This window comes from Homo sapiens, chromosome 1 (assembly GCF_000001405.40).
Source record: "Homo sapiens chromosome 1, GRCh38.p14 Primary Assembly".
Lineage (NCBI taxonomy): Eukaryota > Metazoa > Chordata > Mammalia > Primates > Hominidae > Homo > Homo sapiens.
Window position 1 is genome coordinate 158945823 of NC_000001.11, and position 21647 is coordinate 158967469.

The window sequence follows — 21647 nt, forward strand, 5'->3', positions numbered from 1 at the left end:
TGGTCTTACATGTTGTTCCTGATGTACATTATCTCATTCCTTCTTCATAACCATCAAGAGGATGCTACTTTCTGTCCCAATTGACATAGAAGAAAATAGACACACTCAAACATAAAAAAAAAGTCTTCCTCAAGTTCTCAAAGACAGTGTTAGAGTCAGGATTCATATCCAGCCCTATTGAAATGTAAAACTTGAACAATTTATGATTATATGGGGCTTTAGATTAAAAGTTGAGATATACTAATGTCAGCAATTTATTTTACAAATTTCAGAATTGACAGTGTCATTTAATGAATATGTTTGCATAGCCCAGGCTCTGCAGGGCTTCTCAAAAATAATGAGGTACCCAGAATGAACAAAGTGTACTGTCATACAGAAGCCACTCTCCAGAATTAGAGTCCTCTCATTCTTCTCTATAACAGAGTGCTTTTTATATATTACATAACTGAATTCTAGAAGTGGTAGAACTATGGAAAGTAACCTATTAATGAATGGTAAAAAAAATCAGTGAAAATAGAGAAAATTATATGATTGAGGAGACCTATGTCCTTGCTTTTGGAAAAAAATGTTAAAAAACATTTACTGCAAATGCTCAAGTAGATTGTTAAGTATTTCTAAATATGATTAACAGCCCTGAGGATTCTGGCTAACTTATGCAGACTACAAAACAGCAGAATTCTGCATCTGGAATTGTGGATTTGAAAGAATCCTTCTAGCACAGTGATTAGATAGATAGATAGATAGATAGATAGATAGATAGATAGATAGATGAAACATAAAGCTGGATTTCCTACAATCTAAAGAACAGACAACAGGTACCCATTTGTGTATTTCCTTGACTAGAAAGACTTAGTTAATAAACACCCATCAGACATTTTCAGAGTGAAGTTTGTAATTCCGGTTTCTGTGTATGCAGAAGAGGAGATTTAGGGAATTTACATTTATACAGATATTCCAGAGAACATTCACAAAGAGAGGGTCCTGTTAAAATGGATAAAATATTTATTATGTTGTGACTCATATTGAAAATTATTGACCAGAAAAAAATAATCTATTTTCCTCCCAACAATTAAGGACACAAACACTGAAACTCCTGACCTCAATCTCCTAATTCAGCCCCAGAGCAGAGTGAGCCTCAGCAAACTGCAGTGAAGAACTCATTTCCATATGGGTTCCAGCATCAGGTTTCTCAGTTATGCCCAAAAACCACATCATGCAGTTTCTTACACAAGATACTATCTTGTATTTCCCATTCCTGTGCTTCACAACATCATAATTACTAGGGTGATTGGATCATGACAGGTAACTCATTGATCCCAACTGAATACAATCTTTTTAATAAAATTTATTATCATTAGTTAAGTATATTCTTTGAGACCTTATTAGATTTTGTCTTTTGGTGTTTACAAAGTATATGTTCATGAAATCATTCCTGACTCAAGAGGATTACTGTCTTTTGTTGGTCCAGGTGTAGAGAGAGATTGTGGGGATATAGCCAGATAAAGGAAGATGAATACAAGAATGTGTTCATTACCTATATTCCAGTTACCTTTCATCCTTTCACTTTGTTTATGGCCATACCTCAGGTTTTATTTTAAACTATCCATGGTCTTTTCCAAATCAGAAGCTTTGACAAAGATTGCTTCCTTTGCTGGGATCATTTTCTCCAGTCTCTTCTCTAACCCACCTCTCCAGCCTAAATCCCTTCCTAGGACAAGTTCTCACTGGTACCTGTGGGGGTTTGTCCTGCAGACCCTGACCCAACAACAGATGAATAACATACACTGACACAGATATTCTGCCTGTCAGTTCGGCTAAGGGTCCAGACCCATCACAGACACCAAAGAAGGTGCTGTAAAGAGTAGCAGCCACAGCCTCCACTAGCCAGCCCTGCGGGCATTTATTTAGCACAGATTTAATTGACAAAGGCTTTGAGTCAACACACCTGTAGGTAATTAATCTGATCACCAACCCCCAAGTAAAGAGCGATTATGCACCCACAGTTGATCAAAGGTTGGTCTTAAGACCACAGAAGTAAACAAGCTATTTAGATAAACTACCTCCTTTGTACCCACTTTAAGCTATTTACTCAAGGTAAGGATTAGGCTGCTTTCAGCCATAGCCCTATCTTGAGACTTTTACAAAACCTTCCAGCCTTCCAAGAAGATTTGTGTCTATGTCCTAGAACTTCATCTTAAAATTTTTCCACCAGCCTGACTGAACTACAACATGTCCCCCTTTTCTGTTTTCTGCATCAGGTTCTCTTGACTGAAGCATACAGATGTGTGCAGCAACAAGTCTGTTGGGTGGGGCGGTCATTGCTATTATTCTGGCTTTGCATCCTAGAATTAGCAAATAACATAAGATAATCATGAATATAATTAGCAGCATTCTTTTCCAGTCAGAGTGACCCCCAGGAACAGGTGTCAAACCAGTAGAGATAATCTTGCACACCCTTCCATATGGCTGTTTGTTGGGTGTGTGGATCTATAGTGTGAAAGGATTCTAAAATTTTAGTTTTAAGTTGCTTTATGTCTGCTGCCAAATTGTCATGAAAGGTTTCCCAGAGGTGTTGTTTCACCTCATTCCAACCATGTATTGATTGATTCCATGGTAGAGAAATGATACAGATATGTTTATGCCCCCAGTTGCAGTTTCATTGCTGTTGGAATGCCAGTGCGTCTTGTTGCTCCCCCACATATTCTAAGGCAGCCTCGAGGGATTGCAGTAGTGCAAGAATCTTTTGATCTATACCTTGCTGTAAGAGAAGTTTATTAGACACATTTCTGGCCATATTATCTATAAAAGCAGCTGTTTGTACTGATTCAGTAATAGATGCAACAGCCATACTAGCAGTTGCCAGGATGACTATGGCTGAGACCATAAAGGCTATAAGTGTGCCTACGAATCTTTTGAGTCTGACCTGGGACAGGGGACGTTCTAAGGTGGCAAGGGCAGAGGAACCTTGCCAATCATGTGTCAAATTGACTGGTAGGAATGCCTCAGATTGTCTCCTTAATATCATAACACTAGCAATATTTAAATTAGATATATTGTCATTAGTGATACATGAGGCAAACCAAGCCTGTCCCTGCACCTGGGTCACAAAGGCGGAGTTTTGGGGTGTCATGGAAATATCAGTTCCCATAAGGAAAACATATGGATGGGGAGTGCAAATTAGGCACTGATCAGTGTGATTACAAGTGAAGGCTATAGTGTAATTGTGACTGGAATTATGATATGTCCCATGCCAGGTGTCAGAGGAGGTGCTAAGATGTCCTAGGCACCATAAAGTGTCATGGGGTGGCAAGGACTTTACTTGGGGTCTGGGATAACCCATCCCCCCATCAGCCCAAATCACAGGGGAACGTGATGAGGTTACAAAACTGTGATTGATGCCATGATGGATGAGGACATCAGTAAGGCTGCCCTGCAAACAGCTGTGTGGGCTCCAGTCTAAGATGTTATAATTGCCTAGTTGGAGGCTATAGGCTTGTTCCCCATGACAGACCTCCCAGCTAAAGTGGAATTCATTACTTTCCTGGCTTTTTTTGTTTTGTTTTGTTTTTATTATTATACTTTAAGTTTTAGGGTACATGGGCACAATGTGCAGGTTAGTTACATATGTATACATGCGCCATGCTGGTGCGCTGTACCCACTAACTCGTCATCTAGCATTAGGTATATCTCCCAATGCTCTCCCTTCCCCCTCCCCCCACCCCACAACAGTCCCCAGAGTGTGATGTTCCCCTTCCTGTGTCCATGTGTTCTCATTGTTCAATTCCCACCTATGAGTGAGAATATGCACTGTTTGGTTTTTTGTTCTTGCGATAGTTTACTGAGAATGATGATTTCCAATTTCATTCATGTCCCTACAAAGGACATGAACTCATCATTTTTTATGGCTGCATAGTATTCCATGGTGTATATGTGCCACATTTTCTTAATCCAGTCTATCACTGTTGGACATTTGGGTTGGTTCCAAGTCTTTGCTATTGTGAGCACAGGAAGGAATGTTTGGGAAAGCGGCATTAATTGCATTACCCAGTTTGAGGCTGCCTGCAGCTAAGACTGTTAAGGCATTTCTTTTGCCATGATGTAGCCACAATTGGGTTTGGGCAGGTACACATTAAGGGTTAGAACCTTTATAACTTACACACAGTGGAAGGATAGTGGAGTGATATGTAGTGTTATCTGGCACCTTAGTCCAATGTGTGCCATTATTGAGAGACCCCATTGGGTGTAAATCTAACCCTCCTAGCCAAGCAATCACGTTATTAAAGGCTGGAAAGGGAGTGTCTGCCCAAGTGACAGGGCGAAAGAGAGGCAGATCTAAGATATGAGCCCAGTAGAGTTTAGCAGGTACAGGTTGCAGACAAAGCGAGAGCATAAAAAAGGAACAATACCCTAAGTGATTTGCAATGTACAACAGAAAGCATAGCAAGAAGCAAATTATCTGGAGTGAATGGTGTCTGTGTCAGGAGCAGGATTCATTCAGCCTCCTGAGTTGTCCTCTTCAGCATCCCCCAGGTAATGTCCGGGGCTTGTGTCATCCGAGGAAGCCACATTGTCCAGGGCTGCGGGTCCTGCAGGGTTAGTTCCTTCATTTCTGGTACCAGGTTGGGTCCTAGCCACGCTGTGATATGGTTTGATGTGTCATGCTGGAATCCAAAGAGGACCTGAGGGTGTGTGGACACAAGCATACCCTCTTCCCCACGTTAATAATTCACTTGGACCACACCGTACATTACCGTTGACATCTTTCCATAAAACTGAAGGTTTTATGCCTAGAGAGGTTTCAGCAAAGTGCTTTTCTACAGCTGATTGAAATGTGTCATCTCAATTTTTAAAATTAAGCATAAATAAGGCTTGTGCCAATAGCGTGGCAGGGTATTTACCCATACTCCCCCTTTTCTGTTTCTTGAGCATATTTTTAAGGGTGGAGTCGGCACGTTCTACCATGGCTTGTCTTTGGGGGTTATATGGGATGCCTGTGGAATGTTGGCTATTCCACATGTGACAAAATTGTTGAAATTGTGAGCTGGCATAAGCTGGACCATTATCAGTTTTAATTTTTGTGGGCTGTCCCATAAGTGCAAAAGTTAATGACATCTCCAGTGGATTTTCCAGGAAGAACGTGTGCACTAATTAGATGAGTGTTAGTATCAACGGATACATGTACATATCTTAGTTTTCCAAATTCAGGGATGTGTGTAACATCTGTTTGCCATAACTGATTAGGTTCTAGTCCTCTAGGGTTAACACCTGTTGAAGGAGGAGATGTGCCTGTGAGCTCGAAATCTGGGCATTGTAGGATAATTTGTTTAGCCAGTCTCTGGGTAAGTTGAATTTGCTTAGATAAGTTTCTCCAATTTTGGTGGAAAAATTGATGCCATTAGGTGGCTTTGTCAAGCAGTGATGTCATAACCTGAATGTCTGCTTGTTCATTGCCATAAGCCAATGGGCCAGGCAGTGAGCTGTGGGCTGGAATGTGTGTAATAAAAATAGGATGTGTACGTTGATCTAGCAATTGCTGAAGTCAGAGAAAAACAGCATACAGGGCGGGCTCCAGAGTGGACTTAATTAGAGCTGTCTCAAGGTTCTGCAATAAATAGAGTAAGCAGAATCGCTAACTATATTGATGGGCTGAGTGGAAAAAGTTTCCAAGGACAATATCAGAGCCCCAATCTCAGCTCTCTAAGTGCTAGTAAACCCAGATCGAGTGATTGAATTACGTGGTCTCCACCAGACTAGCGCTTTTCCATGTTTACCCAAACCATCAGTAAACAGTGTTAAAGCATTAGGTGTGTGGGGAGTGAACTACTTTTGTAGTTAAAACATTTACTAGACTTTTTGGGAATGATGAAAATGGGTGAATCTCAAGGACTATTAAGAGAGTATCATCCATAAAATGAATAACCTTGCAATCAGGAATTTTTTTTTCTACTGGGGAGCAAAGTTTGCTCTTAATTGCTCCTTAACTAACTCATGGGCCTTTTGTGATTTTTCTCCCTTTAGAGGTTACCGTTTTACTTAAATTGGATTTGGAGAGAGTCACGTTAGGGGTAAGAGAGAGATAACAGTGGCCATTATTAGAAAGAAGTTTTTTAAATTTTAAATTTTTTCTTAAATCTTAGCATAGAATTATAATCTGGGATGTCGCTTGTATACAAGGAGCACATGAAATTTTGCTGTGGTCCGCCTGCGGAGCTGGAGAGCTAAGCAGGTGGGCCCCAGGGTGGTGGCTGCGTTGCGCTTGCCTAGGCGCCGCTTTTGCCTGTGTCGGTTTTTTTTTTTTTTTTTTTTCCTGTGCCGCTCCCTCCCGCTGCCTGTTGGGTGGACCTTTCTGCAAGTGCCTCCTGCCCCTCCCCAGCAGTCTAGCTCCTGCAGCTGGGCCTGGCTTCCTGTCGCAGCAGCTGTGCAGGCTGAGTTCCTAGGAGCATTAGCTGGCTGCGGATTTGTGAGCTTCCCCGCTGCCGAGCCTTTCTTTCTACCTACTGCTTGCTTGGCCGCACAACTCTGGCCTCTGATGCTTTTCAAAATCTTTTTATAAGCGTTAAAAAAAAAAAATGGGTTTATGATTGCCTCGTTGATCTTGCATTACTGGGCAGGTGAACGGCTCCCCTTTTAATGCCGCTTAAGACAGGGTTCCATACCTAGAGCATATCCCATTTTTTTTCCCATCTATTGGAGGAGGGAGCTCAGGCAAAACCTCCATTCATCTTTGTTATTTTGGCTTGGTGATATTGGGGCTGAGGGAAGAGGAAGTGGTAAGGCAGGTGATGGTTCCTCCTCCTTCCCCTTTTTAGGCTCTTCTGGTTGCAATGAACCAGAGCCGCTCTAACTAAAGCCCATAGCGTTAGGGCTGTTACTGGGACCCATTGCCCTTGAGCATAATGTTGTTTAAGATTTCTCCCAGAGGGAGGAGCCAAGATGGCCGAACAGGAATAGCTCCCGTATACAGCTCCCAGCGTAAGCGACGCAGAAGATGGGTGATTTCTGCATTTCCATCTGAGGTACCGAGTTCATCTCACTAGGGAGTGCCAGACAGTGGGCGCAGGTCAGTGGGTGCACGCACCATGCGCGAGCCGAAGTAGGGTGAGGCATTGCCTCACTTGGGAAGCACAAGGGTCAGGGAGTTCCCTTTCCGAGTCAAAGAAAGGGGTGATCGACGCACCTGGAAAATCGGGTCACTCCCACCCGAATATTGCGCTTTTCGGACCGGCTTAAAAAATGGCGCACCAGGAGATTATATCCTGCACCTGGCTCCGAGGGTCCTACGCCCACGGGTCTCGCTGATTGCTAGCACAGCAGTCTGAGATCAAACTGCAAGGCAGCAGTGAGGCTGGGGGAGGGGCGCCCGCCATTGCCCAGGCTTATTAGGTAAACAAAGCAGCCAGGAAGCTCGAACTGGGTGGAGCCCACCACAGATCAAGGAGGCCTGCCTGCCTCTGTAGACTCCACCTCTGGGGGCAGGGCACAGACAAACAAAAAGACAGCAGTAAACTCTGCAGACTTAAATGTCCCTGTCTGACAGCTTTGAAGAGAGCAGTGGTTCTCCCAGCACGCAGCTGGAGATCTGAGAACGGGCAGACTGCCTCCTCAAGGGGGTCCCTGACCCCTGACCCCCGAGCAGCCTAACTGGGAGGCACCCCCCAGCAGGGGCACACTGACACCTCACACGGCAGGGTACTCCAACAGACCTGCAGCTGAGGGTCCTGTCTGTTAGAAGGAAAACTAACAAACAGAAAGGACATCCACACCAAAAACCCTTCTGTACATCACCATCATCAAAGACCAAAAGTAGATAAAACCACAAAGATGGGGAAAAAACAGAACAGAAAAACTGGAAACTCTAAAACACACAGTGCCTCTCCTCCTCCAAAGAAACGCAGTTCCTCACCAGCAACGGAACAAAGCTGGATGGAGAATGACTTTGACGAGCTGAGAAAAGAAGGCTTCAGATGATCAAATTACTCTGAGCTATGGGAGGACATTCAAACCAAAGGCAAAGAAGTTGAAAACTTTGAAAAAAAATTAGAAGAATGTATAACTAGAATAACCAATACAGAGAAGTGCTTAAAGGAGCTGATGGAGCTGAAAACCAAGGCTCGAGAACTACGTGAAGAATGCAGAAGCCTCAGGAGCCGATGCGATCAACTGGAAGAAAGGGTATCAGCAATGGAAGATGAAATGAATGAAATGAAGCGAGAAGGGAAGTTTAGAGAAAAAAGAATAAAAAGAAATGAGCAAAGCCTCCAAGAAATATGGGACTATGTGAAAAGACCAAATCTACGTCTGATTGGTGTACCTGAAAGTGATGGGGAGAATGGAACCAAGTTGGAAAACACTCTGCAGGATATTATCCAGGAGAACTTCCCCAATCTAGCAAGGCAGGCCAACGTTCAGATTCAGGAAATACAGAGAACGCCACAAAGATACTCCTCGAGAAGAGCAACTCCAAGACACATAATTGGCAGATTCACCAAAGTTGAAATGAAGGAAAAAATGTTAAGGGCAGCCAGAGAGAAAGGTCGGGTTACCCTCAAAGGGAAGCCCATCAGACTAACAGCGGATCTCTCAGCAGAAACCCTACAAGCCAGAAGAGAGTGGGGGCCAATATTCAACATTCTTAAAGAAAAGAATTTTCAACCCAGAATTTCATATCCAGCCAAATTAAGCTTCATAAGTGAAGGAGAAATAAAATACATTACAGACAAGCAAATGCTGAGAGATTTTGTCACCACCAGGCCTGCCTTAAAAGAGCTCCTGAAGGAAGTGCTAAACATGGAAAGTAACAACGGGTACCAGCCGCTGCAAAATCATGCCAAAATGTAAAGACCATCGAGACTAGGAAGAAACTGCATCAACTAACGAGCAAAATCACCAGCTAACATCATAATGACAGGATCAAATTCATACATAACAATATTAACTTTAAATGTAAATGGACTAAATGCTCCAATTAAAAGACACAGACTGGCAAATTGGATAAAGAGTCAAGACCCATCAGTGTGCTGTATTCAGGAAACCCATCTCACATGCAGAGACACACATAGGCTCAAAATAAAAGGATGGAGGAAGATCTACCAAGCAAATGGAAAACAAAAAAAGGCAGGGGTTGCAATCCTAGTCTCTGATAAAACAGACTTTAAACAAACAAAGATCAAAAGAGACAAAGAAGGCCATTACATAATGATAAAGGGATCAATTCAACAAGAAGAGCTAACTATCCTAAATATATATGCACCCAATACAGGAGCACCCAGATTCGTAAAGGAAGTCCTGAGTGACCTACAAAGAGACTTAGACTCCCACACATTAAAAATGGGAGACTTTAACACCCCACTGTCAACATTAGACAGATCAATGAGACAGAAAGTCAACAAGGATACCCAGGAATTGAACTCAGCTCTGCACCAACCGGACCTAACAGACATCTACAGAACTCTCCACCCCAAATCAACAGAATATACATTTTTTTCAGCACCACACCACACCTATTCCAAAATTGACCACATACTTGGAAGTAAAGCTCTCCTCAGCAAATGTAAAAGAACAGAAATTATAACAAACTATCTCTCAGACCACAGTGCAATCAAACTAGAACTCAGGATTAAGAATCTCACTCAAAACCGCTCAACTACATGGAAACTGAACAACCTGCTCCTGAATGACTACTGGATACGTAGTGAAATGAAGGCAGAAATAAAGATGTTCTTTGAAACCAACGAGAACAAAGACACAACATACCAGAATCTCTGGGACGCATTCAAAGCAGTGTGTAGAGGGAAATTTATAGCACTAAATGCCCACAAGAGAAAGCAGGAAAGATCCAAAATTGACACCCTAACATCACAATTAAAAGAACTAGAAAAGCAAGAGCAAACACATTCAAAAGCTAGCAGAAGGCAAGAAATAACTAAAATCAGAGCAGAACTGAAGGAAATAGAGACACAAAAAACCCTTCAAAAAATTAAGGAATCCAGGAGCTGGTTTTTTGAAAGGATCAACAAAATTGATAGACCGCTAGCAAGACTAATAAAGAAAAAAAGAGAGAAGAATCAAATAGACACAATAAAAAATGATAAAGGGGATATCACCACCGATCCCACAGAAATACAAACTACCATCAGAGAATACTACAAACACCTCTATGCAAATAAACTAGAAAATCTAGAAGAAATGGATAAATTCCTCAACACATACACTCTCCCAAGAGTAAACCAGGAAGAAGTTGAATGTCTGAATAGACCAATAACAGGAGCTGAAATTGTGGCAATAATCAATAGTTCACCAACCAAAAAGAGTCCAGGACCAGATGGATTCACAGCTGAATTCTACCAGAGGTACAAGGAGGAACTGGTACCATTCCTTCTGAAACTATTCCAATCAATAGAAAAAGAGGGAATCCTCCCTAACTCATTTTATGAGGTCAGCATCATTCTGATACCAAAGCCTGGCAGAGACACAACCAAAAAAGAGAATTTTAGACCAATATCCTTGATGAACATTGATGCACAAATCCTCAATAAAATACTGGCAAAACGAATCCAGCAGCACATCAAAAAGCTTATCCACCATGATCAAGTGGGTTTCATCCCTGGGATGCAAGGCTGGTTCAATATATGCAAATCAATAAATGTAATCCAGCATATAAACAGAGCCAAAGACAAAAACCACATGATTATCTCAATAGATGCAGAAAAAGCCTTTGACAAAATTCAACAACCCTTCATGCTAAAAACTCTCAATAAATTAGGTACTGATGGGACGTATTTCAAAATAATAAGAGCTATCTATGACAAACGCACAGCCAATATCATACTGAATGGGCAAAAACTGGAAGCATTCCCTTTGAAAACTGGCACAAGACAGGGATGCCCTCTCTCACCACTCCTATTCAACTTAGTGTTGGAAGTTCTGGCCAGGGCAATTAGGCAGGAGAAGGAAATAAAGGGTATTCAATTAGGAAAAGAGGAAGTCAAATTGTCCCTGTTTGCAGACGACATGATTGTATATCTAGAAAACCCCATTGTCTCAGCCCAGAATCTCCTTAAGCTGATAAGCAACTTCAGCAAAGTCTCAGAATACAAAATCAATGTACAAAAATCACAAGCATTCTTATACACCAACAACAGACAAACAGAGAGCCAAATCATGAGTGAACTCTCATTCACAATTGCTTCAAAGAGAATAAAATACCTAGGAATCCAACTTACAAGGGATGTGAAGGACCTCTTCAAGGAGACCTACAAACCACTGCTCAAGGAAATAAAAGAGGATACAAACAAATGGAAGAACATTCCATGCTCATGGGTAGGAAGAATCAATATCGTGAAAATGGCCATACTGCCCAAGGTAATTTACAGATTCAATGCCATCCCCATCAAGCTACCAATGACTTTCTTCACAGAATTGGAAAAAACTACTTTAAAGTTCATATGGAACCAAAAAAGAGCCCGCATTGCCAAGGCAATCCTAAGCCAAAAGAACAAAGCTGGAGGCATCACACTACCTGACTTCAAACTATACTACAAGGCTACAGTAACCAAAACAACATGGTACTGTTACCAAAACAGAGATATAGATCAATGGAACAGAACAGAGCCCGCAGAAATAATGCCGCATATCTACAACTATCTGATCTTTGACAAACCTGAGAAAAACAAGCAATGGGGAAAGGAATCCCTATTTAATAAATGGTGCTGGGAAAACTGGCTAGCCATATGTAGAAAGCTGAAACTGGATCCCTTCCTTACACCTTCTACAAAAATCAATTCAAGATGGATTAAAGACTTAAACGTTAGACCTAAAACCATAAAAACCCTAGAAGAAAACCTAGGCATTACCATTCAGGACATAGGCATGGGCAAGGACTTCATGTCTAAAACACCAAAAGCAATGGCAACAAAAGACAAAATTGACAAATGGGATCTAATTAAACTAAAGAGCTTCTGCACAGCAAAAGAAACTACCATCAGAGTGAACAGGCAACCTACAAAATGGGAGAAAATTTTCACAACCTACTCATCTGACAAAGGGCTAATATCCAGAATCTACAATGAACTCAAACAAATTTACAAGAAAAAAACAAACAACCCCATCAGAAAGTGGGTGAAGGACATGAACAGACACTTCTCAAAAGAAGACATTTATGCAGCCAAAAAACACATGAAAAAATGCTCATCATCACTGGCCATCAGAGAAATGCCAATCTAAACCACAATGAGATACCATCTCACACCAGTTAGAATGGCAATCATCAAAAAGTCAGGAAACAACAGGTGCTGGAGAGGATGTGGAGAAATAGGAACACTTTTACACTGTTGGTGGGACTGTAAACTAGTTCAACCATTGTGGAAGTCAGTGTGGCGATTCCTCAGGGATCTAGAATTAGAAATACCATTTGACCCAGGCATCCCATTACTGGGTATATACCCAAAGGACTATAAATCATGCTGCTATAAAGACACATGCACACGTATGTTTATTGCGGCATTATTCACAATAGCAAAGACTTGGAACCAACCCAAATGTCCAACAATGATAGACTGGATTAAGAAAATGTGGCACATATACACCATGGAATACTATGCAGCCATAAAAAATGATGAGTTCATGTCCTTTGTAGGGACATGGATGAAATTGGAAATCATCATTCTCAGTAAACTATCGCAAGAACAAAAAACCAAACACTGCATATTCTCACTCATAGGTAGGAATTGAACAATGAGATCACATGGACACAGGAAGGGGAATATCACACTCTGGGGACTGTGGTGGGGTGGGGGGAGGGGAAAGGGATAGCATTGGGAGATATACCTAATGGTAGATGACGAGTTAGTGGGTGCAATGCACCAGCATGGCACATGCATACATATGTAACTAACCTGCACAATGTGGCCATGTACCCTAAAACATAAAGTATAATAAAAAAAAAGAAAAGAAAAAAAATAAATTAAAAAAAAAAAAAAGATTTCTCCCTACTTGCTCCCAGAGCTCTACATCTAGCATGCCTTCTTTTAAGAACCATGGATTATGGGTAACAACAGTTTGCATTAGTTCCCTTAATTGAGCCTGTGAAACTGAGGCTCCGCTAGCCTTAAGCGGCTGTTTCAATACTTTTATATACTGTTTCTGTTGAGCTGATAAGTGTTGTCCAGTGATGAAACCCTGGTCTGAACAATCCCCACCCCCACCAAACTTGGAAATCCCAAGCGGGCACTAATGACTTACTGACTCACTGACCGTGCAGTTTTTTTCACCTTCGTTTTTGGGAGGTCCGTTGCACTCCCTTTGCAGCGTTCCTCACACAGGGCACCAGCTGCAGGGGTCCATCCTGCAGACCCTGACCCAACGACGGATGAATAACAGACACTGACACAGATATTCTGCCTGTCAGCTGAGCTAAGGGTCCAGGCCCCTCAAAGACACCAAGGAAGGTGCTGTAAAGAGTAGCAGCCACAGCCTCGACTAGCTGGCCCTGTGGGTATTTATTTAGCAGAGACTTAATTGACAAATCCTTTTGAATCAACAAACCTGTGGGTAATTTGGTTGCCGACCGGACCCTTTAGAGAGCAATTATGCACCCGCGGTTGATCAAAAGTTGGCCTTAAGACCACATTAGTAAACAAGCTATTTAGATAAACTACTCTACCTTCCTTTGTACCCACTTTAAGCTATTTACTCAAGGTAAGAAGTAGGCTGCTTTCAGCCATAACCCTATCTTGAGACTTTTACAAAACCTTCCGGCCTTCCAAGAAGATTTGTTATAACTTCATCTTAAAATTTTTCCTACCAGCCTGACTGAATTACCACAGGTACCCACGTTTCAGATTAGATGAGGTCCTCCCATTGTTGGTTCTCTCAGGTCCTTCATTTATGAGTTTCCTAGCACCCTTTACTTTTCATGATAGCGTTTGAACAACTGGAGTGAAGGAGTGATTTTCCCCCTTTCTATACCATAAGCTCAGATGGTAGGTAGAGTCTACCCCAGAGCAACAGAATACAAGAGGGGAAAGGTCAGTTCATGCTATGTGCATCAATTCTTATTCCAGATTACCTTTTCCTCTGACATGATGGGGTACTTACCTGCACTCAGGGTTCAGAAGCCTGTATTTATGGTGAAAGGGCAGGAAACTTGGAGGAAAAGCAAAAGAATTAAATCACTATTTTTACATTCATTTCTCACCCAAGCCCTAAGCTGCATTCTGACCCAGCAACAGACACCTCCACCACCTTATATACACCCTGGAAGATAAGCTTCCTATATACAAGCTCTCTATTTTGTTTTCATTGTTATCATTGTAGTTCTTAGTTTTAATTAACTATATTGCCTCAATAGTTTATTCAAGTATTATTTGAGCTAGCAGCCTGTGTCTTTTTGCCAACTTGGCACAAGTGGCTATGAATGGAGCCCTTGCTCAATCATTGCAACCGCAGATCCATATTCTCTTGGCCACTTCAATATCCACTTAAATGAACATCTCCAGACAACAATGCCTTTCTCACTTACACTGATTGAATGGGATTATGTAGGAATTTCTAAATCTTACCTGCCAAAATCTTAATCACAACCCTTGCTAAAGCTGTACAGATTATTCTGCTGTACATGAACATCTGTAGAGCACAGCAATCCCAGGAGGATATTATGCCTTTATGGCCTCAAATACCTAAACACATCATGCAGCCATTTATTCTTGGGTGTCCAACTACCACCCGAAAAAAAGAGTATCCAACTACTTACTTATGGCTCACTAGGTGAGCAGGAAAGTCTTGTGCCACTCATCATGGGTTTGCCAAAAGATTTTGTCTGATATAGGTTCTATATGGATTGGGACTTAAAACAAGAAGCAGCCTATTCTTATCATTGATGTCTTATGTTATGTTAACCTAAAGCCAAAAACTCAAATTGACATGAATCAGGACCAGGGATGGTAAGGAAAAGAATTACTCTGAGAAAATTTTTTTAATAATTTAAAATACTAGTCAACCAGAGTATATATTTTCTCATCTAAATTCCACCATTGTGATGGACTGTTTTATTTGGCTGTTTTTGAGAAGATAGTAACTCAAGATGTTTTTGTCAATAAGTGGTAGATATGAATAAAGAAGTTTCTTTAATAAAATACTTTCTATACCAATTTGATCTAGGGTTTCCATGAGAAAGGTAAACAGGGAGTATGAGACATAAGTGATCAGAGTAGACATCCAAATCCCTGCAGAATGAGTATGATACCAATCATAAATGATATTCTACTTTCTGAGTATTTACAGGGTACTGGTTTTTAAAACCTGCATTCTATATGTATATGTATATTATCACATCTCTTTTTCATAACACAGTCATGAGAATGCTACTCACAGCCTTATACATAAGAGAAAACTGAAATACATAGGATTTAAAAATATTCCCCAAGTTCACAAAGATAGTGAGTGTGCTAAATGTAAATTATATGTACTTTATGTATCTTTTCTTATTTGTTCTTCCTTACACTAACTTGATGATGTCATTATTAGTCACATTTCATATTTCTAAATACTGAGGAAATGAGAGGTTAAATCTTCATTTAAGATACTGCTTTTGAGGGCCAAGATGACTAGCTAGAAACAGGTAGTGTGTACCACTCTTGTAGAGAGAAGAGAGTAGCAAGTAAATGCTAGATCTTCAACTGGAACATCCAGGTGGACCATTGAGATCCACCGAGAAAACAACTTTACCCATGGAGAATAGAGAAGAGTGAGACAAGACAATTGCTCACCTGGGAATGGCACGGAGCCAGAGGAGGCTTCTCCACTGCAGGGAAATGGTGAGTGAGTGAGAGTCTCTGGGGACCCATACTTCTGCCACGGACCTTTGCCACCCTGGGCTCAGGAGATACCCCTATGAGACCACCCCACTGGAGCCTTCAGATTGAGAGGGAAAGCTAAGTGGAGCCTGGGCAGAGCCACCACTCAGGCATACAAGGAACCCTTGGAGCCTTGGATCCAAGTATCCTGGAATTAGCGGCTGCAGCTCTGGCAATAGGGGAGGTCAGGCTGCCTCACAGGCCTTCAGAAAAGGAGCTGAATCCAGGGGACTAAGCAGCACTGGACTCTAAGCCTCGCCTCCACTGCACCTCACAGGATAAAGTCCACTAGCCTAGTACTCCAGCCACCCCCCTGCCTGAGCTCATGGGCCGGTAGCAGCTCTGCACTTCCCTGGGTTGGAGCCCCCAGAGGGAGAGGAAGCCCACCATTTTTGCTGTTTCACAGCCATTGTCACGGCTGCCTTCAGGCCCTGGAGAGTGTGTGGTGATTAGGGACTGGCTGGATCCCCAGCACAGCACAGATGCCTCATGAAAAAGTGGCCAGACTGTTTTATACGTGGATTCCCGATGCCAGTTCTCCTCACTGGGCAGGACCTCCTGACTTCAGACTCCAGTTACTCCCTACCTGGGCTTTGGTGACTATAGCATCTCTATACTTCCCTGGGATGGAGCTCCTAGAGGGAAAGGTAGGCTGCCATTTTTTCTGTCTTGCAGCCCTTGCACCAGTTGCCTTCAGGTTCTGAAGGATGGGCAGTGATTAGTGATGGGCGGATCCCCAACACACTGGAGCCACCCCACGGAGAAGTGATCGGACCGTTGTATCCGTGGGTCCCTGTTCACATTTCTCCTCACTGGGTGGGGCCTTCAGGCCTAGGACTCGAACACAATTACCCTGCCCCCTCCTGAACACTTCAGTGGAAAGCAGCTTTGCATTTGTCTCAGGAGAAAATCTCAGAGACAACCCACAACTCCTCCACCATTGCAGCTGCAGTGGCACTGCCCTAACTGCTCTCGAGCTGGGAAAGAAACAAAGGGCCTGGTCACTACACTGGCACCTCCAGCACACAGCAGCGAGCATTGGAGAGGAGTCCAGTCTCTCTTCCCTATGAGCTCCCAGCCCTACTCTTCATCAGACAGGGCTCCTGGCTTTGAACTGCAAAACAGCTGCCCCACCCATGGCTAAGCATACGGTCTGCTAGTAACTCTGTGTTTCCCTGGGGAGGGGGTCCCAGAGGCAACTGACAGCCCCACTGCAACGGCCACAGCAGTGGTTCTGCCCCTGATCCCCTTAGTTCAAGGAAGAAACAAAGACCCCGAGAGTTTCACCTGCGCTTCCAGCACACCACAGTCACCATACAGGCAGCAAAGCACAGTCCCTCCTCCCTATGAATCCTCAGTGCCCCACTCCTCAACGAGCTGAGCCCCTAGTTGTGGCCAGCAATGTAACTTCCCATTCTCTAGCTGAACATTCCCAGTAGCAGCGGCTCTGCATCTCTCTGAGGTGCAGCTCCCAGAGGCAACCAAAAGCCCCTCTGCCACTGCTGCTGCAGTGGTACTGCCCTGCTGCCTTCAGACTGGGGAAGGAACTGCAGTTGCCCTAAGGAGAAGAACTCAGTCTATCTCTCTTGTGACCCACCCGTAGCCCTGCTCTTCACCAAACCGGGACCCTCTGGCTTGGGCCCACAGCACAGCTGCCCCATCTTTGGCCAATTGCACTGGCTGATAGCAGCTCCTCGTTTCTCTGGGGTGGACCACCAAGAGTCAAGTGAAAGGCCCTCTGCCATAACCACTGCTAAGGTTTCTTCTGCTGCAGCCTTCAAGCTGGCGAGGGAACATAAAATCTGAGCTCATCCCAGAGCTGCAGTGTGCCAAGCCAAGATCTGGAGCCAGTACTCAAGTGGGAAAGGAGCCCACACTTTCAGAGCACTGAGAGGGAGCATGCCCTGCATATGGCAGAGCAAGAGCCTACCTACTGGCCAATACACTTAAGCACCACCTACTGGATCACAGCCCAAAACTTCAACACCAAAAATATTTTGCTAATATAGACCCCTGTGTAACCATGGACAAGAATTTAGCTAGAAATTAAAACCCTGCACAAAGCCTCAGCTCTCTAACAACATCCAGGAAAGAAGGTTTCTAACTACTCAAAAGAAACAGTGCAAGAACTCTGGCAATTCAGAAAGCCAGAGTGTCTTGTTTCCTCCAAAAGATTGCACTAGTTCCCCAGCAAGGGTTCTTAACCAGGCTGAAATGGCTGAAATGACAGAAATAGAATTCAGAATATGGGTAGGAATTAAGATAATTGACATTCAAGAGAAAGTTAAAACTCAGCTCAAGAAATCTAAGGGTTTCAATAAAATGATACAGGAGCTGATAGAAAAAATGGCCATCATAAAAAAGAACCAAACTGATCTGATAAAGCTGAAAAATACATTACAAGAATTTCATAATGCAATTGCATGTATTAAGAGCAGAATGAAATAACCTGAGGAAAAAACCTCAGGGCTCAAAGAAATAGCTCAATCAGAAATGAAATAGAGAAAAAGGAATTAAAAAGAATGAAAAATCTTCTGAGAAAAATGGGATTATGTAAAGAGACAAAGTCTAGAACTCATTGGTGTCCCTGAGAGAGACAAGGAGAAAGCAAACACCTTTAAAACATATTTCAGGATATCATCCATGAAAAATTCCCCAACCTTGTTAGAGAGGCAAACTTTCAAATTCAGGGTACATAGAGAAATCCTGTGAGATACTACACAAAAAGACCATCCCCAAGACACATAATCATAAGCTTTTCCAAGGTCGAAATGAATTTAAAAATGTTAAAGACAGCTAGAGAGAAGGGGCAGGTCACTGGGAAGGTCACCTACAAAAGGAACCCTATCAGACTACAGCAGAACTTTCAACAGGAGCCTGACAAGCCAGAAGAGCTTGGGACCTATATTCAGCATTCTTAAAGAAAATAATTTCCAAGCAAGAATTTCACATACAGCCAAACAAAGCATCAAAAATGAAAAAGAAATGAGATCCTTTTCAGACAAGCAAATGCTGAGGGAATTTGTTACCACCAGACCTGCCTTATAAGAGATACTGAAAGGAACACTAAGTATGAAAAGGAAAGAACATTACCAGACACTACAGAAACACAATTAAGTACACAGAATAGTGACACTATGAAGCAACCACAGAAACAAGTCTGCATAATAATCAGCTAACAACACAATGACAGGATCAAATCTGCAGATGTCAATATTAACCTTTAATGTAAACAGGCTACACACTCCACTTAAAAGTCACAGAGTGGCAGGCTGGATAAAGAAGCAAGACCCAATGGTATACTGTCCTCAAGAGACCTGTCTCACATGCAATGACACCCATTGGCTCAAAATAAAAGGACAAAGAAAAATCTACCAAACAAATAGAAAGCAGAAAAAAAAAACAGAGGGTGCCATCATAATTTCAGAAAAAACAGACTTTAAACCAACAAAGAGTTAAAAAGACAAAGAAGGGCATTTCATAATGGTAAAGGCTTTCATTCAACAAGAAGACCTAACTACCTTGAATATATACACACACAACACAGGAGCACCTAGACTCATAAAACAAGTTCTCAGAGACCCACAAAGAGACTTAGAGTCACATACAATAATAGTGGGAGACTTCAATACCACACTGGCAGTATTAGATCGATCATTCAGGCAAACAAAAAAAAATAGCAAAGATATTCAGGAACTGCACTCAATACTTGACAAGATGGACCTAATGGACATTTATGGAACTCTCAACCTAAAACAATGGAACACACATTCTTCTTACTGCCACATAGCACACACTCTGAAGTCGACCACACGATCAGATATAAAACAATCCTCAGCAAATTCAAGAAAACAGAATCATACCAACCACCTTCTCAGAACACAGTGCATAAAAGTATAAATCTATAGTAAGAAAATGGCTCCAACCATACAATTACATGGAAATTAAACAGCCTTCTCCTGAATGACTTTTGGGTGAATAATAAAGGCAGAAATAAAGAAATTCTTTGAAACTAATGAGAACAAAGATAAAATACATCAGAATCTCTGGGACATTGCTAAGTCAGTCTTAAGAGAGAGGTTTGTAGCACTAAGCGCTCACATCAAAAAATTTAAAAGATCTCAAATTAACAACCCAACATCACAACTAGAAGAACTAGAAAAGCAAGAACAATCAATCCCCAAGCCAGCAGGAGAAAAGAAATAACCAATATCAGAGCTAAACTAAAAGAAATTGAGATGTGAAAAAAACAGACAAAGATCAACGAATCCAGGAGTTCATCTGTTGAAAAAATTAATAAGAAAGATTGCTAGATAGACTAAAAAAAGAGACAAGATCTAAATAAACACAATTAGAAATGACCAAGGGAAATTACCACTGACCCCACAGAAATACAACAATCCTTCAGAGACTACTATAATCACCTCTATGCACACAAGCTATAAAACCTAGAAGAAATGGATAAATTCCTAGACACATACAACCTCTGAAGACTAACCCAGGAGGAAACTGAATAACTGAATAGACCAATAACAAGTTCTGAAATTGAATCAGTAAGAAAAAGTCTACCAACTAAAAGTAGCCCATGACCAGATGGATTCACAGCCAAATGCTATCAGATGCATAAAGATGAGCTGGTACCATTCCTACTAAAACTATTCAAAAAACTGGGGAGGAGGGACTCCTCTCCAATTCATTCTATGAGGCCAGCATCATCCTGATAACAAAAGGCAGAGACACAACAAAAAAAGAAAACTTCAGGTGGTTATTCTTGATGAACATACATGCAAAAATCCTCAAAAAAATACAAGTAAACAAAATCTAGCAGTACTTCAAAAAGCTAGTCCAACACAATCAAGTAGGCTTTATCTCTGGAATACAAAGTTACATATACAAAACAATAAATGTGGTTCATCACATAAACAGAACCAAAAAGCTACATAATCATCTCAATCGATGCAGAAACAGCTTTCAATAAAATGCAACATCCCTTCATGTTAAAAACCCTAAATACTCTAGACATTGAATGAACATACTTCAAAATAATAAGAACCATTTCCAACAAACCCACAGCCAACATCATACTTTATGGACAAAAGCTAGAAGCACTCCCCTTGAAAACTGGAACAAGACAAGGATGGCCTCCCTCACCATTCCTATTCAATAGAGTACTAGAAATCCCGGCCAGAGGAATCAGGCAAGATAAAGAAATAAAAGGCATCCAAGTAGGAAAAGAGAAAGTCAAACTATCACTTTTTGCAGATGACAAAATCCTGTATTTAGAAAAACCCATAGTCTCTGCAGAAAAGCTCTTTGATCTCATAAACAACTTCAGCAAAGTTTCAGGATACAAAATCAATATACAAAAATCAGTACACATTCCTATAAACCAACAACATCCAAGCTGAGAGTCAAAACAGGAATGCAATTCCGTTCACAATTGCCACAAAAATTGACAAAAGGATTTATTGTATTCATCAAGGTTGGAAATCACCATACTACATTTTTTTCTAGAGCAGGCTATTTGTGGGATGAGAGGGTTTTCTTAGAATGTAGTCTGTTTTGTATATTGTGTCTTATGTGACAGGCACTGTGTACATCACTTTGGATCCATTTTTCTCATAATCTTCAAATCAAAATAATGAGGCAATCATTTCATTTTTTACATAAGGAAACTGAAGCTTGGAGAGGTTAGGCAATCACAGAGAGGCTAACCAAGGAGGTAGTTATTAACAATAAGAATTACAAAACACTGCTCAAAGAAATGAAGGAACACAAACAAATAGGAAAAGTTCC

The 21647-nt window shown here is 41.7% G+C and overlaps 1 protein-coding gene across 6 annotated transcripts in view, besides 2 other annotated features; it reads left to right on the forward strand.

The window, feature by feature from the left end:
• PYHIN1 (pyrin and HIN domain family member 1) overlaps positions 1 to 21647 on the forward strand; it is a 59319-nt gene that overhangs the window by 14271 nt on the left and 23401 nt on the right. The window lies entirely within an intron of this gene.
• Positions 6843 to 7811: an enhancer, noted in NCBI's record as "H3K27ac-H3K4me1 hESC enhancer chr1:158922455-158923423 (GRCh37/hg19 assembly coordinates)". NCBI's record gives its function as "activates a minimal SCP1, AML or CMV promoter by ChIP-STARR-seq in naive and primed H9 embryonic stem cells {active_cell/tissue: H9 hESC(naive and primed)}" and the evidence as "EXISTENCE:reporter gene assay evidence [ECO:0000049][PMID:30033119]".
• Positions 13200 to 13378: a silencer, noted in NCBI's record as "fragment chr1:158928812-158928990 (GRCh37/hg19 assembly coordinates)". NCBI's record gives its function as "represses an EF-1alpha promoter that drives an FKBP-Casp9 reporter gene in an ReSE screen in K562 erythroleukemia cells {active_cell/tissue: K562}" and the evidence as "EXISTENCE:reporter gene assay evidence [ECO:0000049][PMID:32094911]".